The 23,714-nt window shown below is 46.3% G+C and overlaps 1 protein-coding gene across 2 annotated transcripts in view, besides 4 other annotated features; it reads right to left on the bottom strand.

Moving 5' to 3' along the window:
- The window catches only part of TLN2 (talin 2), a 454,082-nt gene that overhangs the window by 386,656 nt on the left and 43,712 nt on the right, over nucleotides 1-23,714 (bottom strand). The window lies entirely within an intron of this gene.
- Nucleotides 3,360-3,908: an enhancer, noted in NCBI's record as "H3K4me1 hESC enhancer chr15:62746267-62746815 (GRCh37/hg19 assembly coordinates)". NCBI's record gives its function as "activates a minimal SCP1, AML or CMV promoter by ChIP-STARR-seq in primed H9 embryonic stem cells {active_cell/tissue: H9 hESC(primed)}" and the evidence as "EXISTENCE:reporter gene assay evidence [ECO:0000049][PMID:30033119]".
- Nucleotides 5,383-5,992: an enhancer, noted in NCBI's record as "NANOG-H3K27ac-H3K4me1 hESC enhancer chr15:62744183-62744792 (GRCh37/hg19 assembly coordinates)". NCBI's record gives its function as "activates a minimal SCP1, AML or CMV promoter by ChIP-STARR-seq in naive H9 embryonic stem cells {active_cell/tissue: H9 hESC(naive)}" and the evidence as "EXISTENCE:reporter gene assay evidence [ECO:0000049][PMID:30033119]".
- Nucleotides 5,993-6,602: an enhancer, noted in NCBI's record as "H3K27ac-H3K4me1 hESC enhancer chr15:62743573-62744182 (GRCh37/hg19 assembly coordinates)". NCBI's record gives its function as "activates a minimal SCP1, AML or CMV promoter by ChIP-STARR-seq in naive H9 embryonic stem cells {active_cell/tissue: H9 hESC(naive)}" and the evidence as "EXISTENCE:reporter gene assay evidence [ECO:0000049][PMID:30033119]".
- Nucleotides 18,112-18,406: a silencer, noted in NCBI's record as "tiled region #2524; K562 Repressive non-DNase unmatched - State 22:ReprW". NCBI's record gives its function as "represses a minimal TATA promoter and a strong SV40 promoter by Sharpr-MPRA in K562 cells {active_cell/tissue: K562}" and the evidence as "EXISTENCE:reporter gene assay evidence [ECO:0000049][PMID:27701403]".

Below are 23,714 nucleotides of genomic sequence, written 5' to 3'. Positions count from 1 at the left end.
AGTTGCTTCCAAACCATCCCAAACTTCCAAAACATGGCTAATTATACAAGGTAAATAAGTCACGACAAGCAACACAAAGGAAAACCCGTAGGAATCCATTCTAGGTGCTCACAGCAGGAGGTGACACAGCAGAGGGGACCTGAAGCCAAGCAATGAACTGGGCAAAATGGGACTTCATGCTCCATCCAGCCCCCAAGACTCCCTCGCCTGCCAACCAGCTCCCACGCAGGTGCAGCATTTTTGCCTGTGCACCCTCTTGCACTCCTCCCCTTTGTCAAGTCCCTCTGCTGGCCGTGGCTTTATCATCTAGACATGTGGAAAACCCCGACACAAACCAGCCAGCTCCCTGCCTCGCCACCAGAACGCTGTCCCTCTCTCCCAGTAAGAACTCTCCCTGGGTCACTGGAAAAGGCACTTCTGCCACTGGAGGTCTGACCCCCAAGGAAGACGGGGCCCAATTCCTCTGCAGTCACCAGCCTCTGCTTTAAAGAATCTGCAGCTCAAAAACCTCCAAGAACCCCTGCTATGAACTCAATCATGTCCCTCCAAACTCTTATGCTGAAGCCCTAAACCCAAGGGGGATGGTGCTGGTGCCTTAGGGAGATAATTAGGTTTAGATGAGGTCACGACAGTGGAGCCTTCATGATGAGGTTAGTGCCCTGTTAAGAGGAGATGCCAGAGAGCCTGCCTGTGCATGCACGCTCGCACGCTCTCCCTCTCTCGCTCTGTCATGTGAAGATGCAGCCAGAAGGCAGCTGCCTGTAAACCAGGAAGAAGGCCCACACCAGAACCCAATCATGCTAGCACCCTGATCTCAGACTTCCAGCCTCCAGAACCGTGAAAAAATTTCTATTGTTTAAGCCATCCAGTCCACAGCATTTTCCAATAGCAACCTGAGCTAATACCTTCCCCAGGGAGATTCCCCTTGACCAAGGGTAGACAGGGCCACAGGCAAACTAAACAGTGTGTCAAGCATTCACAGGTTGTAAAAAGTAGCTTGTGAGGCACGATGCCCTACTGTCAAATTCTCCCCCACCCTGAATTCCCCCATCCCACAGCTTGGTGGCCTAATGCCAGAATGTCAAGGAGCCCTGAACCGCCCCCCTTTTCTGCCATGGGGCAAGCAGAATGAGACAGAGCCAGGGAGAACCTGTGCAGTGAGACAACGGATGGAAGAGTAAACCCCAGGAAACAGAAATGGCCACACAGCCTTTGTACTTGTAGTCTCAGGGAGATCAGAGCCTCTGAAAACATACTAACTATGTGACAAGCCCTCATTCCCAACCTCAACACTGGGAATCTAAAATTAGCCAGAGAAAGAGTCTACTCAGCTCTGTGTCTCCTACACAGGCCCTGATAAGTGTCACTACCTCCTTTGGCAATAACTTGTCTTGGGAATGCTATAAATACTACCTAAGTCTACCCAATGTGAATTCTGAATACCAAGAATCATTTCAGGGTTTTCAGGCACTGGCTATGTGACAGAGGTGTCAAATTCAAAGTCGCCTGCACAAGACGCACACCCAGGGAACACATAAATCCCTCAGGTCCAGCCCTGCATTTTAAACGGTGGGGAGGACTCACTCAAGAGCACCTCCACCTTCCGTGCGGCTGAGGCTGCAGCTGCTACTGCTGCAGCTCTGAAGAGCCGATGAAACGCTTTTCACCTTTTGTCAAATTGCTAGGAAGTAGGAGGCTGAGAGAGATGAGAAGCTTCAGATTACAGAAAAGGACAAAAAGAAGTCTGGCCTTCTTGGATATTTAGATCTGACTCAGAGCTTTCCAGTGAAGAGGCCCTTGGAAAAGGAAGGCTGGAGAAGCAGCAGGTACTCCCCGGACGATCAGGGCTGTTACTTGTCACTTGTCCCCTTGGGGGCTTGATCCAGTAAGGTTCTTTTTTTTTTTTTTTTAAGAGTCTTACTCTGTCACCCAGCAGGTTAATAGATGTCTGTGGACTGAATTTCAGTTCTTTGGGTTTCTGGGGTTCGCAACTGCAGACTCGTAACCCCCAGGAGCAGGGCTGGCTGCACTGGTCTGCAAAAGCAAAGTGTCAGCCAGACGCCCTGCACCTGGCCAAGATGTAAAGCTCAGGCACAGGGAACAGGTGGCGGCGGTAGAGAAGGGGTACTGGCTCGGAGGACAGGACGCTGGGGAATGGAGATGTGTGTCAGAGTCAAGAGAGATAGCAGAAGGGGACTGGAAAAGGGCCCATCAAGGCATATGGAGTCCCAGAGGCAAAAGGGAGAGAGGGTGTTAGAGGATGATAAGCAGTGACCCGTGACAGGCAGCCCCGAGCAGGGCACCTGGGAACAAACTGTGAGATTTGGCCACCAAAGGGTTGCTGGAGGCCTTCCAGAATGGCACTCTGGCATAGTGGTAACCGCAGAAGTCGATGAGTAGGAACGAGGTGTAGGTTACTCTTTCTAAAAGTCAACAGACAGCTCACAACCGACACTAGGCCAGTGGTTAAAAAAACAAACAAAAACATTGCTCCCCATACATTGCGGTGCCCCAGTCTTTAACCAACCCCTGTGCTATCTGACTCCTACTGCGCTGTACCATCTTTTTGTCTTGGTTTATTCAGTCTCTCCCATCCCGAACACCCTCTCCCACTGGCTTTTTGACATTCTGCAGATTGCTGAAGGCGCGGCTGAAGTGCACCTCCAGGAACCCCTTCCTGAGTTCCCCATCACGTCCCCTCCATCGAGCACCTCTCTCCTCACCTGGAAACTGCAATATTGCTGACCTACACACTCCTGCAGGAAGAGTCGGGGACTCACTGCCTCTGTATCACTCTCAGGAGGCACCACAATCTTTTGCCCACGACAGACCCTCAAAAAGGAGGAGTCCATTGAATACAATGGTTCCCTTTAAAAATAGTTATTTATTTTTCTCCCTCCTTTGCTCAAATTCCTTGTGCTTAGTAACAGACATAACTGCCCACCACAAAACCCCAGTGTTCAGTATTTCACAAGTTTGATTCTGTCAGCCCCCCGGGGGGAGGAAAAGTGAGGAATAAGCTGTGTGGAGGGACCTGGGACTGGGGGAATGATAGTGTCTACCTCTTCTCTCCCCACCTGCCCCGATGTCACAGGGTCAGCAGAAGGGAGGGTCTTGGGAACAATGCTCTGGAAGCCATCCGAAAGAGTTCAGTCCCTGCTAGGCTACTCTGGGCCACTCCTCTAAAGGGCCGAATGAAAGAAGCCAGTGTTCCAGGGTCTAAGGCAAACTAGGAGCTGGATCTATCTGCTCAAAACTAAACCCTCCCTCTTGCCCATGCTCTTGCCCTCTCCCTCACTCCCTGTGTTAAGCTGAAGTCCTATGGAGACAAGCCAGAAGGGGACTCACGGAAGGATGGGGCACAGGGTCCTGTGCTGTACCCCACTTCTTGATACACTTGCTCTAAGGCATCTGCCAGACATCCCACCCCTAATGACCAGACCTACAAATAATCCCATACCCCATGACGGTGCCCCACCTGGCATCCCAAAGTTCTCACAGAGAACCAGCAGCCCTGCAGGAGACGGCTCTCAGGTCCCATTCATCCAAGCCCCAACCAGACCCCTCCAATGGGTCTGGAAGCAAAAGCACTGGGCATTAAAATGTCAGGGCCTGGCCTCCCTGGTGTGTGGGGCAGCAGTTGAAGCCTATTCTTGGGGTCCCGAAGTGCCCCCTCACCTCTTCCTTCCCTTTCTGCCTCCTGCCCACACAAACATTTGCTGGAGGACTGCTCTATAAACTGACATCAGTGGAAAAGAAACATCCGGAGTACAATCAGAGTTGAGTCATTAAACATCACAGAATCCCTTAGGGGAAGAAAAAGGCCAAAATGAGCCACTAAATGCTAGGGCTTCAAAACCCCAAAATAAAGCATGTCTACCACTGCTCTGAAGGGAGCATAGCGTGTGCCCGTCTCCTCTGAGCCACAGGGGCCCTTGCAGCAGGCAGCCACTCACACTCCCGCACAGGTGGCCAGGGGTCAGCCACTGGCACCTGGGGGTGGGCCTGGCCCGTGGACAATAGCAGCAAAACTGATTTTATCCACCTACCCACCGGCAGCTGCAGGAAGGGCTCACACTGTTTGCAAACCCTGAGAACTATCATTTTATGTCCTCCAAAACACTGAGGAGAAAGCAAACCAGCCACAGGAACCTAGACCCAAAGGGGAGAAGGTAAGTGAAAAACAGCCACACAGAAAACACAGAGAGAGGGATTCAATGCTGCCCGGACTTACTCAGTGCAGATGCTTTGTATCAGTTGCGTTTTTGTTGAATTCTCACACAGGGGGCTGATTCAAAGTACCACCAAAAAATAAATTCGAGGACAGCTGACTGCATTAAACAGGAAGGGACAAGAGGGAAACTTAGAACCAAGTTTCAATTACTCACACTACATAAAACCACCTCTCAGCAGCTGGTGCAATCAGTCAACAACATAAACCATGGCCAGGGGCAGATAAGCAGCTGGATCTGGGTAACTCTTCAAGAAATGCCCTCCCTCAGTCCCTGCTAGCAGTCAGGTAGCCCAGCACCTGCAAAGGAAGAAAGGGCCTTGTATTAGAGCACACTTTTGGCACCTGCCATGTGCAGATCATATTCTCATTAGCCAGTACTAGCTGCTTGTTTCTCTGAAGAACAAATGACAGGAGTCTATGCAGCTACTTTCCAATCCTACTTTTAGGATCCAAGTTAATATTCTACCAAAAAAAAAAAAAAAATAGGTTGACAATGCCAAATGGCCTCTCTCTCTGCACCATCAAATCTGCCCATCTCCCAAAATCTTTCTAGCCAACCGCATGCCCTTTTACCAATGAGCTGCTTTATTGTGTGTTCACCACTGGATCACCCAAATTTAGCAGCAAAAATGCAGCAAATCTAGTTAAACTTGAATTTCAGGTAAACCACAGATAATTCTGCAGTATAAGTATTTCCCATGCAGTCTTTGGAAGATACTTATACTATAAATGATAGACTGTTTATCTGAGATTTAATTCACCTGGGCAGCCTGCATTTTATCTGGCAACCCTGCTTCATCTTCATTCCAGGGAAAACACTAAATCCCAAGAACAGCTGGAAGCAAACTTCGAGAGCCCCCAGCTGCCAGTCCATTCTACACAGAGGATTAGGTAAAGCAGTACACTGGCCCCGCCACTCTGGGCAACAAGGACAGGCAGAAGGGAGCAGGAGGACTGTCTCCAAAGGAGAGGCAAGTTAAGTCCCTTCTCCTCTTAACTTATTGGACTTAAAGTATCGACACAGAAAAATGTGAACTTAGAAAACAAATGCGGTATGATTCCACTGATTGAGGTACCTAGAGTAGTCAAAAATCACAAAGACAAAGTAGACTGGTGGTTGCCAAGGGCTGGAGGGAAGGAGGATAAGCAGTAATGGGCAGTTTCAGTTTTACAAGATGAAAGAGTTCTGGAGATGGATGGTGGTGATGCTGCCCAGCAATGTGAATGTACTTCATGCCACTCAACTATACACTTACAAATGGTTAAAGTAGTAAATTTCGTGTTATGTTTATTTTTACCATAATGTGTTTTTAAACTGTCGACGTCCTTCTCATTTCCAGTTTAGCCAGGTCTTTCTCTCTCTTGTGTCTAATTCATCTCTAACTTCACGGAATAGGTATCTACTAAGAACCTTACACAATGCAAAAGGAAATCAAATCAGCAGGATACAAATGAAATGCAAGGAAAGCCAGGGCGGAGGGAGGAGCAGGTTTGCAGCTAGGACGGACTTTTCGCAAGCCCTCCTGGCTCCTGTCTGTCTAGGCCTCAGGGCTCCCTGCAGAAGCACCCTCACAACCCCACTGTTCTTTCACCCTTGGTGCGTCCCAAGGGCCTTGGCATCACCCCATGCTCAGCTCTAAGAAATGATCCAGGACCAGAACCCCACAGGCAATGAAGCTTGTCTCCACAGGCGACAGGAAAGCCTCGGGGCTGGAGGATGCATGGTCTCTGCAGTTACAATCACCCTTTGCCCAAGAATATCAACACGTACACACACACACACCCCTTTTGACTCTGGAGACCCCAAAGCAGGCATCAGGTCACATAAATATACGATCTAAAACTGCAGGTCGTCTGCCTTGGAGGGTGTTTGACACAAAACAAGACTTGGGGCACTCTAGCGGCTTGATATGTACCATCAAAAGAGAAAACAGAGTCAAAGGCAGAAAGCATTCGTGAAGCCCATGGACCTCTGCAAGGCCCAAAAGCTACTTGAGGACAGCAGCAAAGGCTCCCTCACCACAGTTCTGGTCTATCCCTGGCCAGGTAATCAGGGTTGTGGAGCCAATTCCTCTTTTCTTTTTTTGAGACGGAGTCTCACTCTGTCGCCCAGGCTGGATCGCAATGGCACAATCTCGGCTCACTGCAACCTCCGCCTCTGGGTTTAAGCGTTCCTCCTGCCTCCGCCTCCTGAGTAACTGGGACTACAGGCACGCACCACCATGCCTAGCTAATTTTTTGTATTTTTAGTAGAGACGGGGTTTCACCCATGTTAGCCAGGATGGTCTAGATCTCCTGACCTTGTGATTCACCCGCCTCGGCCTCCCAAAGTGCTGGGATTACAAGTGTGAGCCACTGTGCCCAGCCCAGCCAACCCCTCTTAAGAATCCAGATTCTCCTCAGCAGCCCTTACTTGCCCACCCAACCCTGACCTGGCGAGACTGCCACAACTAGCCCCTCACACCACGCCCTAGACACATGGGGCAGTCTGCAGACACATGGGGCTAGCAGTGGGGCTGTGGTGCACACGGCCCTTAGAATCACATCAGTGTGCCCTGGTCCCTCCTGGACTCTGCTCTGGGTCTGCAGTAGTGCCCAGGAATCTTCAAATTTAGCAAGAACCAGGCAGGTCAGGCACAGTGGCTCACACCTATAATCCACTAAAGCACTCTCAGAGGCCAAGGTAGGACAATCACTTGAGGCCAGGAGTTCAAGACCAGCCTGGGCAACATAGCAAGACCTCATCTCTACCAAAAAAAAAAAAAGAGAGAGAACTCCAGGCAACTGTAAAGGCAGGGATCCTCAGACCATACATTAAAAGAACAAAAACGGAGAAACAACATTTGAGCTAAATATATATATAGATATATGGACCAGGCATGGTAGCTCATGCCTATAATCCCAACACTTTAGGAGGCTGAGGTAGAAGGACAGCTTGAGCCCAGGAGTTCGAGACCAGCCTGGGCAATATTGCAAGATCTCATCTCTAAAAAATTAGCTAGCTAGGCATAGTAGCACACAGGAGCTAGTACTCAGCTACTCAGGAGGCTAAGGCAGGAGGATATCTTGAGCCCAAGAGGTGAAAGTTGCAGTGATCAGCGTTCATGCCACCGCACTCCAGCCCAGATGTCAAAGTCAGACCCTGTCTCAAACACACACACACACAGACACACACACACACACACACACACACATACATACATACATACATACATACATACATACATACACGATGGGGGCCACTTAATGATGTAGGGCTATACTCACAGATGGTAGGTTAAAAAAAAGCTGAATCCCCAACTGTATCTCCTACAGGCGACTATCTATGTTGAATATGTATTTACATACAAGTTAAACTCGTGCCCGAGTTAACTAAAGGATAAGCTTTCTACAAACACGGTGACTCGGATACACCATCAGCTTCTGGATTTGCCTCCTGGCTCGGCTTCAGGTATCACACTCCAGTGCACAAGCAACAGCAATTCCCCGCTCATGCTCCATCCAAGGGTAGGATCTAGTGGTTGGTGGGAGAAGAACGTTTCAGGCAAGGAGTATGAGTAAAAGCCACAAGGTGAAGACTCTACTGAGACACACACTGAGAGGCCGGCCTGGAAGCTGAGAGAGCCTGGAAGCCAGAGGAGAGATTCTGCAGGAGACGGCAGAAAACATTAGGAAAGTAAGTTGGGGTCCAGGTACGGGGGCAACTGAGAGCTACTGAAGGTTTGTGAGGAAGAGAGTGACAGTGGCAGAATTCCACCAGGAGCCCAAATTCTTTTACAACCAGGACAGACAAGAAACAGCAAGAAGGAAGCAAGGGAGTAGTCATGATTTCAGAAAATAAAGACAGAAAATCATGGAACCATGCACTTTTCATTGTGAATGCTAAGCCTGGAAATATGGCTACCTGCCAACTTTCTCTTGTCCTTTCTCTGCATAGCTTTGGCCAAGGTTTTGTTGTTGTTTTCTCAGACAGGGTTTGGCTCTGTCACCCAAACTGGGATGGAGTGGCTTGATCATAGCTCACTGCAGCCTCAATCTCCTTGGGCTCAAGCAGTCCTCCCACTTCAGCCTCCCAAGTCGCTGGGACTACAGGCCATGTCCAGCAATTTTTATTTTTATTTTTTTAACTCCTGGGCTCAAGCAACCCTCCTGTCTCGGCCTCCCAAAGTGCTGGGATTACAAGGTGAGCCACCATACCCAGCCTGTTTTTAAAGGAGAATTTGGCACTCGGAGGACAGTGATTCTCAACACTAGAGCAGTCCTGATGCAAAAGGTGCTGCACAGGAATGTGTAAACTTTCCTGCCCTCTGCCAGCTAGCTCATCTACTGGGCTATGAAGCAACTACTGCAGCCCCAAGGATCTTAGCAGAGGAGAGAGGAACAGGAAGAAAGCTCTTCAGCATCAGGACCAAACTCTGACAAAGACCCTCCCCTAGAAACAAAAGATCTGGGTCATGCAGAAGACTTTTCAAGACCTACGCATGGAGGAATTATAGCCCCAGACACCCCTCCCCATACCACTCACCAATCCATTTGGGTCCCCTCCTCTTAAGACTTGCTGCATCGCCAGGGCTTCTGTTGACGAGTTAAGCCACTTCATTTCAGGTTTTGAAAACTAATGCTCTCTGACACGTTATGTCTCCTGCTGCCCAAGAGTTTAATACCCAGCATTCACTATTTTATATTAAAATCAGTTATCATTTTTACTACACATCAAAGCTCATTTCCCCCTAAAACTGCAAAGCTGAGACACCACTAAGGAGTGCAAAAGGAATAAGAAGCCAGTTGCCCTGCAAAATTATGCAACTAATGCCCTCTCTCTGAGGAAAAAAGAAGCCCCCTAGACAAATAAAGAAGAAACTCGAAGAGCACGCTCTATAGTAGTTTCCTCCTGATGGGATGAGCTGCACTTTTAACATTTTAAACTAGGTCAGTACATGAGTTCTGATGTTGGGCTTTAAAAGAACTTGCTTGCCTCAGATTTGGGCTAACATAGTGAATCTAGAGACCGCTCTGTGAATTACTATTCCTAACAACCAAAGCTTATTTCTAACATTTTGTATCTCAGTTAAAACAAACCTCAGCATTTCTCTCTGTGATTAAAAATAAGCTACACCACAGGATTACAACGTCAATGTCTTTCCCTCCCCCTGCATGTCAAGTGTTCTCGCCCTTACAAATAATAAACCCGGTATCTCTCTGTAATAAATAATTCCACACAGGTTTTAGAAAAGCAGCACATGACAGAGAGGGTACTGGAGGAGGAGCAAACACACAACAGAATAAACCGAATCCAGAAGTGAAGCTCATTCAGCCTGCCCAGTACAAGCCTAACTCTTTCCTCCCTGGATCCTTCTAATATGATCATGCATTTCTATAACTACATTTGCAAATGAGTGACTCAATAACTGCTACCTAACTCTGTAAAGCATTGGGATGTACTTGTTCAAGAGCAGCTATACGGAATTAGGCCCTGACTGGGAATCCTGTCACTCCTCAGTGCTGTGGACTGCAGCGGATAGCACATAGATCACCCAAGCCTTCCCCAGGACAACTGAGAGGATCCAGTGAAATCTAATGTAAGGAGGCACTATGCAGGCTCCCTGGGCCCAGTCAGAGCCATGCTGCTTCTGCTCCAAGTTCGTCTCCTAAATCCAAGGCGTTGGGGCCTGTTGGAAATACAGATTCCTGGGCTCCTCCTGGGAGGATTCTGCATCAGTGGCAGCCAGCCCTTGGCCAGCCTTTGGAAGCTCAGTCCTGGCCCACTCACAGTGAGGAATAGCCAAGTTCTATTCTGGTGTCACGAGCACCTCATTTGTAGCCTGTCAGACTGAGCAAGCCTACGAATTGGCTTGTAATGGGACATAGCAGGAACAAAACCAGAAATGCACAAGAGTGAGTGGGGCGGGGCCGAGCACCCTTCATAGCCTCTGGGGATATGGAACTCTGGAGAAAAGTTAACTCTGGGCCGGGCTAATCCTAGCACTTTGGGAGGCCAAGGCGGGCAGATCACGGGGTCAGGAGATCGAGACCATCCTGGCTAACTCAGTGAAACCCTGTCTCTACTAAAAATACAAAAAATTAGCCGGGCGTGGTGGCGGGTGCCCACAGTCCCAGCTACTCAGGAGGCTGAGGCAGGAGAATGGCGTGAACCCAGGAGGCGGAGCTTGCAGTGAGCAAGATCGCGCCATTGCACTCCAGCCTGGGCGACAGAGCGAGACTCCATCTCAAAAAAAAAAAAAAAAAAGTAAAGTTAACTCTGTCCAAGGAGCACTTCCAGGAGAAAGACTGAGCCTCAGAGATTTTGAAGTGTGAAGCATCCACCACTCCATTCCATTCACTTGTCTCACAGCTCAGCCACATGCTGTTTCCAAGTGCTCCTCCCAGCCTCTCCCACTGTGCAACCCACCCCGACGTTCTGGACCCACTACCTCGTAAAACTTTCCTTGGCCATCCAGGTCGAAACTACCTCTCTCACCTTAAACTCCTAACACACTTAGCACTAATACCAGCTTCCCAAGTTGCATTCATTCAAGTAGTGAATAGTTCCTAATTAAATAAATAAATAAACAAATAAATAAATAAATATAGGCTTCTTGAACAAAGTCTGGGAAACCAAAGATTATGCAGCTATGCGTTCATTATGGAGATTAATTTATTAAAGGCCCCAAGAAGCCTTTAACAAATAAACTGTTTGATTTTGTTTGACCCAACATTTTCTAAACTCCACTGACCTAAAAACCCATTTGTTCAGGAAGCCCTATTAACTTCTTGCAGAACTGATGATCCACGTTAGAGTTTGGGAAATGCTGATCTATTCCATTCATCTAACAACTAATTATGCCTTGTCCGGTTTGAATGGTTATTTAATCTTGTGTTCTTTAGCTCTGTGTGTATTTACATATTATCTTAAGTAGAATATTCATTTGAGCTAGAAGCACAACTTACATGTCTTTGAATACCCTACAGCCCCCAGTCCAGCCCTTGTAGAGATACTGAATACATTGTTTGATTTGAAAGTATTAGACCCAACGGTAAAAATCACAGATGTGTCTTAGAATACAAAAAAATGTTTAAAATCACAGCGATCAGGTAAAGTTCCATTCATTTTTTTATATAAGAAAACTGAAGTCCAGAGATGTAAAACGGATCATCCAAAGTCACAAAAAAGTCAACAGTAGAACCATGACTAGAACCCAAGTCGTCTGACTCACTAGCTAATGTTCCTTCTGTGATTTAAGTAAGCACTCTTCTAGACTCCAGCTGGTTTTCCAGCAGGTAAAGGAATCTAAGGTAGTCTAGTGATCTGAATACCACAGGCAGTAGGACAGAGGCATACCAATTACAAGGAATTAAAATACAAAAAGAAGACCCAAGCTCTGCTAAAATGGGAGTTAAGCGCTCAGAAGATTCCAGATGCTTATTAGGAGTTTAAGACTACAGAGCTTAAGCCGGGCGCGGTGGCTCGCACCTGTGATCCCAGCACTTTGGGGAGACGGGCGGATGACGAGGTCAGGAGATCCAGACCATCCTGGCTAACACGGTGAAACCCTGTCTCTACCAAAAAATTAGCGGGGCGTGGTGGCGGGCGCCTGTAGTCTCAGCTACTCTAGAGGCTGAGCCAGGAGAATGACGTGAACCCGGGAGGCGGAGCTTGCAGTGAGTGGAGATCGAGCCACTGCACTCCAGCCCGGGCGACAGTGAGACTCTGTCTCAAAAAAATAAAAATAAAAATAAATTTATACAAAAAAAAAAGACTACAGAGCTCAGTATCAAGAATATCAAGAAAGGGCCAGTAGGCGATGGCTCATGCCTGTAATCCCAGCACTTTGGGAGGATCCCTTGAGCCCAGGAGTTCAAGATCAGCCTAGGCAACACAGTGAGCCCTCATCTCTACTAGAAATTTAAAAATTAGCTGTGAGTGGTGGCATGTGCCTGTAGTTCCAGATACTTGGGAGGCTGAGGTGAAAGGATTCTTTGAGCCCAGGAAGTCGAGGGTGCAGTGAACTGTGATCAGGCCATTGCACTCCATCCTCGGTGACAGAGCAAGACCCTGTCTCCCCCAACACCCACCCTCAAAAAAAAAAAAATCTAATACTGACATCTGTAATTTGTATAGCTGAATAAGACGCTTGACTGACTTTTTATTGGAACATCACATTAATAGTTTCAGCATTTTACTTCTCAAACAGCTACATTTATGTTTACTTATACACTATGTAAGGCCTGATTATATTCAAACAAATGCTACTTAAGGGTGTGTGTGTGCACCAGTGTATTATGCATGTGAGTCACTGTTTGTTTCTAAAGAGTTCCAATGATGACACTGTGATACCTCTTATTCCTCCACCAGCATAAAAGTATCATGAGATAAACTCTAACGTATATAGCATATACATTAGAGTTGCTTGGGGGCAGGAGAAAGGGAGTTGTTATTTGCTAATACAGATTCAAGACCTCCAAAGGTGGAGGTGGAGGTCACTGTAAAGCCACAGGTGATTCCTATCCACTGGCAGGGATAAGAACGACTGCTCTGAAGGCCTGGAGTCAGCTGGGTCACACCTGCAGGTGCTGCAGCCTGGGCATTTCAACAGCTCCAGTTCTATCTTAAAGATCAATTCTGCCAGTAAGGCCTCCCTGACCCCTGATATCCCCAAGCCTGGTATTCTCTCTCTTGCCCAGAACTTGACCTGGATAGCTGACACTGGGCATTTGCCTGGTAACTCCATGGTTATGATACATAATAACTGTAATTTTGTTAAAGCATAGTGGTTCTTTGTACTTTTAGTTCATCAGTAAGGCCCAGTGGCTCTCAACCAACCCCCAAACATACACATGCACCAACACTGCAGATGACAGGCAATGCTGCACAACCCCACATGCCTTTGTCAGCATCCAACACCATATGCACCCTAGCAGCAGCTGGCTCTGCTTCTACCCCTCCTGCCGCACTCAGTAAAGCACTTTGGAATACATACATGGGAAAAACAGTAATACAATAGTTGCCTTGCTGCCTTTTTCTAGTAAGTCATCCAAAAAGTTTAGAGCCTTAGCCAGTAATTAGAAGCAAATGACTCCAACACGCCTCACCATTGTTCATGACACAAGAGTGAGTCAGGACCGTGCGGTGAAGAACCACTGACAGCACCAGTTACTAACAGCCTTGTGCTGGTGCCGGAAATGGAGACAAAGGCAAAAGGACTAAGAAATGAGGGTTCTTTAGAAAGCAGACATATGGACCAATTCAAAATCTTCAAAGTCTACATTATTCCATTTTATAGGTTAAGTTATATGCTATGGGAGTATTCACAAATTTGGGAATTCACAAAAGCTCCAAGACAAAGGCCTATGCCGCTTCATGGAACTTACTTCTTACATAAGATTCAAACCACTGCATCCAGAGAATGAAGTCATCTGAAGATATGGTCCACATGGGATTTGTCACCTCCATGGAGACCAGTGACCTCACATCATTGAAGACCAAGGCCCATTTCTCAGATCTCCTCGTCCTGCCCTCTAAGCAGCATCCAGAATTACTAGCCTCACCCTCCTCCTCAATATTTCCCTGGCCTGCCTTCTCCCTCTCTGGCTTCTCAGACTTCTTTATAGGTTCAAACGGCTCCACCCCACCATTAGCTATTAAAATCCCTCCAAGGCTCACATCGGTAGGTGCTCAATAAAGGTTCTTGACTGGATGGTAAACTGCTAACATCAATGAACTGCTAGAAAACAGATTCTCCCCTTTATTTGTTTTGAGACAGGGTCTTGCTCTGTCACCCAGGCAGGAGCAGAGTGGCACAATCATGGCTCACTGCCATGGGCTCAAGGGATCCTCCCACCTCAACGTCCCAAGTAGCTAGGACTACAGCCACATATCACCATGCCTGGCTAATTTTTTGTTTTCTGTAGAGATAGGGTTTCGCCGTTACCAAGGTTGATCTCAAATTCATGGGCTCAAGCAATCCTCTGTCCTCTGCCTCCCAAAGTGCTGGGATTATAAGCATGAACCACTGCATCTGGCTCAGACTCCCATTTTATACACACCCTACAGACTGAATCTCAGATTCTCTAATCAGCAGGTGAAATCAGGGAAAATGAGGGAGGAATGTCCATACCCTACTCTCATCTAATCTCTTTCCAATGCTCCTTTAATCTAAAGTTTGAAGTTCAGGAATTTTAATAGACGTTGATTGGGCCTCCTTTGAGGTAGCTGGGAATACAAATTGATGAAGAGGAAAAGAAATCTTCCTTTACAGCTTTAATAAAAAGCTCATTCATAGCCCAAAATACGTTCCTATTGCCCAAGTGTTAGTATTATAACAAAGATGCAGAACTTTTGCCAATTAATGTCAGTGTCCAACAGAAATTGTTAATGGTGATAAAACAAATTAAAGTTTTATATTAGAACCAGTTAAGGAAGCAGGAAGGGCACAAAAACCAAACACTGCTATCAGAAGAGATAACAGAAGGCATTTATTAAGCTGGATTGCCAAAGAATATAACAAATTTAATATTAAAATTATAACTACAGTAGTCTGAACAATGGCCCCCCAACAATATTCACACCCCAATCCTCAGAACCTGTGAATGGTATCTTACATGGCAAAAGGAACTTTGCAAACATGATTGAGGAGGATCTTGAGATGGGGAGATTAGTCTGGATTATCCAGGTGCACCTCGTGTAATCACAAAGGTCCTGAAAAGAGGGGAGGTAGGAGGACCAAAGTCAGAAGACAGGAGGTGGGACAGTGGAAGGACAGGTGAGAGAGAGCTTAGAAGATGTGGCACTGCTGGCTCGGAAGACGGAAGATAGGACCACTAGGCCAAGAACTGCAGGCGGCCTCAAGAAGCTGGAAAAAGCAAAGAAATGGATTCTCTCCTAGAGCCGCCAGGAAAATCACAGCCCTGCTGACACCTTGAGTTTAGGACTTCTGAACTCTAGAACCTAAGTTAATAAATGTGTGTTGCTTTAAGCTACTAAATGTGTAGTAATTTGTTACAGCAGCAAAATGTTTCTGTTTTGATTTTATTTTGAAGGTTGGGTATTAAAATATAGAGAAAGAAAAAACAAATTTTTTTTTTCTATTATCTCACACAGTACACTCAATACTACACTTCTGGTCACCAAAATGTATGGGGATTTCTCCTCCCACAGCAACCTCACACAGCAACCAAGCAGTTTCCCAGGTGACTCTCCAGCAGACACCAGCTGGACATCCTCTAATTTTTTTTTTTTTTTTTTTTTTTCTGAGACAGAGTCTCACTCTGTGCCCCAGCTGGAGTGCAACTGCGTAGTCTCGGCTCACTGCAACCTCCACCTCCCAGGTTCAAGCGATTCTCTTACCTCAGCCTCCCGAGTAGCTGGGATTACAGGCACGCACCACCACACCAGCTAATTTTTGTACTTTTAGTAGAGACGGGGTTTCACCATGTTGGCCAGGCTAGTCTGGAACCCTGACCTCAGGTGATCCACTCACCTCGGCCTTCCCAAGTGCTGGGATTACAGGCATGAGGCAACACACCAGGCCACATCCTCTAATTTAACTCAGTTCTGACACTATCCACCTGGACATGGTGTCGGGGTGGCGGGCTCAGTTCCACAAGACTGTCCCCTACAAGCCTCAGGTTGTGACCTGTGTTCTGACCAACAGGCTATACATCAGGGTTCCCATGACCCCATCCTTAGGTTCACTTAATTTGTTAGAACAACTCACAGCACTAAAGGAAACACTTCACTTACCTTTACCCTTTTATTATTAACAACATTACCAAGCATAAAGATGGACAGCCAGATAGAAGAGATGCTTAGGGCGAGGTATGAGGGAAGGGGTGTGAAGCTTCCATGCCCTCTAGGGGGGCACACCACCCGCCACAAACCTCCACGTGTTTATCCATCTGGAAGCTTGTCTGAACCCAGTCCTTCATGTTGTTAATAGAGGCCTCATTAAATAGGCATGACTGATCACATCATTGGCCATTGCTGATCAATTTAACCTCTGGCCCCTCTCCCTTTCCCAGCAGTGGGGACTGGCATCTGAAGTGGGCAATCTTGTGGGGCTAAACCCTCAACCTATGGGATCTGACCCTATATCTCCAGGTAGATGGTGTAAAAATTGAGTTAAATTAGAGGACATCCAGTTGCTGTCCACTGAAGAATCTGCCGGAGAATTGCTTTGTGTGGGGAACGTCCTCCCGCCCCAACAGACAATGGAGTCAGGATTGTTGAGTGACTGTGAAAGAGAGTAGGAAATAATATCTTGGTTTCTTCTATCTTTAGTTTACCTCAGTGTTTTCTGTTTACATGTATTCAGGGGTGGATTCACATGAAGCTCACACAAGTTAAAAAGCCAGGCATGGTTGCATGTGGCTGTACTCCCAGCTACTCAGGAGGCTGAAGCACAGACATCACGTGAGCCCAGGAGTTCGAGGCTGCAGTGAGCTATGATTGTGCCACTGCACTCCAGCCTGGGTGACAGAGCAAGACGGTGTCTCAAAAATATTAGATAAGTAAATAATACAAATGAGCACAGGGCCTTGGAAGGGATCCCTCCATGTGAGGGGCCCTAAAGCTAATCTTCATGACCAATCCATCTCTGCTTGTACTGGAACCACGTTACACTTACCCACATCTGACCCATCATTAGTTCGATGGATTTTCACTAGGAAATGAGCTTCATCAGGAAACGCTGTCCCAGAGCATGAATGTGAAGTGAGCAGGAGATGGATAAAGCACCTGATGAACCAGCTATGTATTATATACCAATGTGACTATAACCAGAACCTGGCTTTGTTTCCACAGGCCGTTTTCCAGGATAGAAATAGCCTGTTTTATAGACTGCTTCCTTCAGAGCAGTATTTGCTGTCACAGTCATTCGTGCTTTCAGTATTTGCTGAGCACCACACAGGGAGGATATAAAAAATGGTTGAAACTGCCTCAAGGAGCTAAACTTTTGAAGGGATAAGAGATGTACACTGGTATCACATGCTGCTTTCCATGACAGCTCTACTTTAGAAGGGAGGTATCAATCCTAAGTAAAAGTAGGACGGTCAATAATTCCTGCTGCGGGGATCCAGGAGGCCACAGCCAAGGGCAAGACAGGGATAGGGGTATAAGAGAACAGCAAGAGAGGTTGCCATGGAAACATTCACCAAAGCAGAGGAGGACAGTGAGGACAGTCAGCACCGTCCTCCCTGACGTTTGGCACAAACACCACCCCACCCGTTAGGTTAGGAGTCTATTACAGAAAAAATGCTCTGCCATTTGGTTGTATTTACCGATCTGCAGCCAGGACCGTGCTCTTGCCAAGTTCACAGTGCTGTTCTCCCAATGAATGAAACCTGTACCATATACTTAAGAAAGGAGAGGGGGAAGATATGTAAGAATTAGGGACAATTTGGTCTCTATCTCAATCTTAAATGCAAGGAGTTTAAAGAGGTAAGTCATACCATAAATCAATGTTTCAACTCAGCATTAATTAAATGCTAACATTAAGTTACATTCTCCCTCTGAGAGGCAGAAAGAATCAAGTTCGTGAGAGGCCCAAACTGAGACTTGAAAGACAGGAAGACCACGAGATCGAGGAGACAGGTTAGCCAAGGTATAAAACGAACCTGGGATAGACAGCAGTGTCCAGCACATGGCGGGTTCTTCATGAACATCTGTAAAATGAGTAAATACAAACGTGCCTAAACCAAGTAAATGAAGAGACCATCCAGGTTATCCTGCCCTGTCTAAAATCCAGTCACTGCCCTGGGAGTCCTGCCTTGCATGGTATCATCGCCCCTGTTTCAGCACAGGGAGTTCCTGTCCCTAGAAAAACCCTGACCCTGGTTAACCCAGAGACAGCTGAAATACAGAAACACCAAACATCTTCTTGCCCCTAATTAATGGCCTCTGACTGCAAGCCAAATCAACTTTCGAAATTGTAAGCTCACTGGAATGAAGGCCAAAAGTCTCAATGTTCACAAAGGACAATGCATACCCAAAGGGAAAAAGTCTAACACTAGTCAGAGGCTTTCACAATCAGAGAGTCACTGACTGGCCATTCACCAGAAATAAACATTTATTCTCACTGTGGGGCTTCCAGAGGCTGGTGGCATGCTGACCCAATCCATAAAAACTGGCTAAGATAGGCGCACGGTGGCTCACACCTGTAATCCAAGCACTTTGGGAGGCCAAGGCGGGCAGATCACCTGAGGTCAGGAGCTCGAGACCAGCCTGGCCAACATGACTAAACCCTGTCTCTACTAAAAATACAAAAATTAGCCGGGCGTGGTGGTGGGTACCTGTAGTCCCAGCTACTTGGGAGGCTGAGGCAGGATAATCACTTGAACCCAGGAGGCGGAGGGTGCAGTGAGCTGAGATCATGCCACTGCACTCCAGCCTGGGCAACAGAGCAAGACTCCATCTCAAAAAAAAACAACTGGCTCAGATAGGTCAAATGTTCTGTATCCCAGGATCAATCTATTAACAGGTTTTATCTAGGCTGACAAATAGGTTTTATCACATGTGACAACTCCAATCGATTGGCAGTGGCTGCCTTTCCTAGGGTACATAGTAAAGTGTCATAATCTTCTAGCGATGTCTGCCATGACAGCAAGAGAAAAAGTAATGGCACAGGGGTCAGGCATTTATTATCCTTGATCCTAATTATACTGTATACATATGCATAAACATATAATGCATATATTTACAACCACATATAATTATCTTTTTCCCTAATTAGCTTTTAAACAATAAAGAAAAGCCCTATTACAGATAGCAACATCTAAATCACAACCGTATTGTTAAATCCTAAGTACAAAAGAAACAGGAAATTAAGAGTAGGAAGTATGACTTTAATCCGAGTCCAGCATGTGCTAGCACAGCTGTTGCTAGAAGGATCCAACTGTTGAGGCCTGCTCAGCCAGGGGACCCTTCCCTCCCTAGGTCCTTGGGATCACCTGAGCATCTGTCCTGGTCCAGGCATATCATACACAGGGGAACTTGGCAGGGTGAAGAGGACTGACTCTGCAGAGTGCCATTTACTGGACAAGGCATTGTTCCAGGGGTTTTATATGGTCTCAGTAGCCTTGTGCTCATCCTTATTCTCAGGCTTGAACCTAAACATGAATGTTGGCCCCACCTACCTCCCTACTTCCCTCTTACACTTGCTACGCTGTAAACAACATGGGCTGACTGATTATGCACCGAACTGTATGGGATAAATAAATGCTGCAAGTGGTCAGAGGTAAGGAGATCACCAACTCCTTAATGTTTAAAGGTTGACATGTTTAGAATAAAATCTCAGCAGATAAAGGTGCACTTCCATCTACAGAGGGGAATGAGGCTGACTGGAATTTGGATAGGAAAGGACCTTTCAGATAGACTAAGCTTTACAGACAAGGCTGTCTTCAACTTAACAAGGATATGGCATATTTCCACAAGGGAGAAGTGTAATAGCCCCCACTCCCTTTAAACATTCTGCCAAATGTGCAAAAAGCAAGGATGTGATCTGGCTGCTCCCCAGTGCCCCTGTTTTCCCTTAAATAACCACTACTGGATTAGGCCATGTTGTGGACTTTCTAGAGCAGCAACTGATGGCTCTTTGCCAGACATCCTGGAAGTAAGTTTGACTACCTGACCAAGGCTGGCTTGTAATGGTTCTCTAAATGCTGTTTGGCCCTGAGCTCATCCCACTACATCCTCTCTAACACTTGCCTTCCCCAGTGAGCTCTTGGGGACCAGGGTGCATCTGCTGCCACCAGAGGCGAGAGTGGGAAAGGGGATGGTCCATAGATGTGTGGTGCTCCTCCTACACCCAGAAGTCTGTAAATCAATCCGTTGCATTGCCAGTTGTTGCATAAATGATTCATGACTATGTTAATCAATACATTTTTGCAGATGCTATTAACCCTGATCATTTCAAGGGGAAAATATAGCTCAGGATGCAGAGGCCACTGCACCAATTGGCAGACAGACAGACAGACACACACACACACACACACACCCCCATGGTGTTTTTTGAAAGTACCGTTTTACAGAGGAAAAAAGTAAACCTGACCTAAAACAGAGGCATCAGTATCCTGAGGCAAGGGCTAGGACTAGAAGCTCATGTCAGTAAGGAGAATGGCTCCAGATGACACACAGTACTATGATTATGACTCTTGCCCAAATGTACCTATACCAACAAACACCTAGGGGCAGGATGAAATAGCACCTTTCAGCCAGGTGTCATGTCTCACACCTATAATCTTCACAAGGCAGAGGGAGAAGGACTGCTTGGGGCCAGGAGTTCACGACCAGCCTGGGCAGCATTGTGAGATCCTGTGACTACAAAAAAAAAAAGGTCAGGTGTGGTGGCTCGCACTTATAGTCCCAGCTAGCTGACCTGGCCTCATGATCTCTCTCAGCAGCCACCACCAATCACCAGGAGATAAAACTAAAGATGAAACTTGTATGTGTCCCCCATAACTCCTAATACACTGCTATTGATGAATGTGCTCCTCAGAAAGGATTCCTAGACCTCTAGCAGGCTGTACACCAACATGGGAGACGCCCTCCTAAGAGCCCTTGATGGTATTTTTCCTCAAGTGGCTCATAATCAATGAGAGATGAAACAAAACTGTGCAAATGAAAGAAAGCCAAAGTGATTAAAAAGTCCATTGAACCAATGTGTTGGGAATTCTACTGAAATATTAGAGGATGTATACAAAAGAGAAATCATACAATTGGGTTGGGCACAGTGGCTCACGCCTTTAATCCCAACACTTTGGGAGGCCAAGGCGGGAGGATCACTTGGGGTTGGGAGTCTGAGACCATCCTGGGCAAAATAGTTAGTCCCTGTCTCTACAAAACAAAATTAAAAATTAGCCAGGCACGATGGTGCATGCATGCTTGTAGTCCCAGCTACTCAGAAGCCAAGGAAGGATGAGCCCTTGAATCCAGAAATTCGAGGCTGCAGTGAGCTATGATTGTGCTACTGCACTCCAGGCTGGGTGACAGAGTGAGACCCTGCCTCTAAAAAAAATAAATAAATAAAGAGAAATCAAAGAATCATGGAGCAAATAACCAAGCCATACACAACTCTTCAACAATTCAAACAACCTGATTCCTCCAAGTCCCTTGAGACCTCCTCTCATAGGCCTGCTCCAGCCACACTGGCCTTCACTGGTTTCTCAAACACATTGAGCTCCTGTCCACTGCAAGGCTTTCCCTAGGCAGCTTTCTCAATAGGGAAAGCTCTCTTCCTCCTCCTCCACTGACATCCTGCCACCTGCTCACGAAAGGCTGGCAAACTCCCACTCAGGTTATAGGGTTGGACACATTCCCTCAAGGAAGTCTTCCCTGATCGCCCTCTGCCTCACCCCAGGCCAGGGTAGAACACCAGGTCCTCCCGCACAGCACTCCCTGCAGTTGCCAAGGACTGTTAGTTTGAATTCCACCTAAGTGGAAGCCTGGCTATGCTTTCCATGAGCTCCTGAGCATAGGACAGATACGCACCACTGTATCCTTAACACACAGCACAGTGCCTGGAACTCAGAGGGAACGTGGAATCAATGAACTAATAGATCAATGGATGACTGAATAAATGATGAGGCAGACAACTGAATTAGAACTGCAGGTCAAACAGGAGGTTAGCAGGACATCTGTGATGCAGAAAGCAATGGGAAGTACGGAGAAATGTGTTTGTGACGTAAGTTTGAAACAAGTAGGCACAAGAAACATCCTGATAGAGTGGAGAAGGCAGGCAACAGTGATATCATGGAGCATGATACAAAATCCAAAATTCATAAAGATTAATAAATTTGACTACATAAAACAAATTTTGTGCAGTGAAAAAGCTAGTGACAAAGACAAAATGAGGGAAAGTATTCACAGCATGTGACAGATGCTAATTTCCATAATACATAAACAGCAAGGCCTGGCATGGTGGCTCACGCCTGTAATCCTAGCATTTTGGGAGGCCAAGGAGGGTGGATCACCTGAGGTCAGGAGTTCAAGACCACCCAGGCCAACATGGCAAAACCCCATCTCTACTAAAAATACAAAAATTAGCCAGGCAAGGTGGTAGGCGCCTGTAATCCCAGCTACTTGGGAGGCTAAGGCAAGAGAGTTGCTCGAACCCGGGAGGCAGAAGTTGCAGTGAGCCAAGATCGCGCCATCGCACTCCAGCCTGGGTGACAAGAGCAAAACTCCATTTCAAAAAAATAAATAAAAATAATTTTAAAAATCAAATACAAATCAATAAGAAAAAGACAACAACACAATAGACAAATAGACAGCAGACACAAAAAGTGAAGAGAAAAAGAAATAAAAATGACTTAAGCATATAAAGACAGTCAACTTCTGCGGAGAAAAATGAATGGTTTTACACTGTTGGTGGTAGTGTAAATTAGTTCAACCATCGCGGAAGATAGTGTGGCAATTCTGCAAAGATCTGGAGGCAGAAATACCATTTGACCCAGCAATCCCATTATTGAGTATATGCCCAAAGGAATATAAATCATTCTACTATAAAGATACATGCATGCGTATGTTCACTGCAGCACTATTCACAATAGCAAAGACACGGAATCAACCCAAATGCCCATCAATGATAGACTGGATAAAGAAAATGTGGAACATATACACCATGGAATACTATGCAGCCATAAAAAAGAACAAGATCTTGGTCCTTTGCAGGGACATGGATGGAGCTGGAAGTCATCATCCTCAGCAAACTAAGGCAGAAACAGAAAAACCAAACACTGCATGTTCTCACTGATAAGTGGGAGCTGAATGATGGGAACACATGGACACATAGCGGGAAACAACACACTTTGGGGTCTGGGGGTGGAAAGGAGAGCATCAGAAAGAATAGCTAATGGATGCTGGGCTTAATACCTAGGTGATGGGTTGATCTGTGCAGCAAACCACCATGGCACACATTTACCTATGTAACAAACCTGCATATCCTGCACATGTTCCCCTGAACTTAAAAGTTGAAGGAAAAAGAAAATGCTCAACCTCACATCACACATCATAAGTGATATGAGATTCCATTTTTACCTAGCGGACTGGCAAATATAGGCAGTCTGACAATACACTGTGTTGGCGAGGACTCCTGGGAACAGGCACTCTCATACATTGTTGGTTAAATGATTAAAAATGATACAACTTCTTTGGAGGACAATTTAGCAATATTAAATTAAAGATGAACATACTTTCTGACTTAACTGTTTTAGGACTTTATCCCACAGCTGTACTCACACTTGCAAGCAAGGGAAAGAGCGCGCGCATGCACAAGAGTGCACACACATCAGCAAAAGATAAAAAAAAGACCCAAATGTCAATAGGGAGCCAGTTAAAAGACGAAATGGAATATACTATAATGGAATATAAAACTGCTGTTAAAAAAGAATGAGGCTATTCTATATAATCTAATAGGATATAACTTACAATGTTAACTTTTTTTAAGTAAGATGCTTAAGTACACACACCTTATATACTATATATTCA

This window comes from Homo sapiens, chromosome 15 (assembly GCF_000001405.40).
Source record: "Homo sapiens chromosome 15, GRCh38.p14 Primary Assembly".
Taxonomy (NCBI): domain Eukaryota; kingdom Metazoa; phylum Chordata; class Mammalia; order Primates; family Hominidae; genus Homo; species Homo sapiens.
Note: the sequence above shows the minus strand (reverse complement) of the source record. Positions and strands in the feature narration are given on the sequence as shown.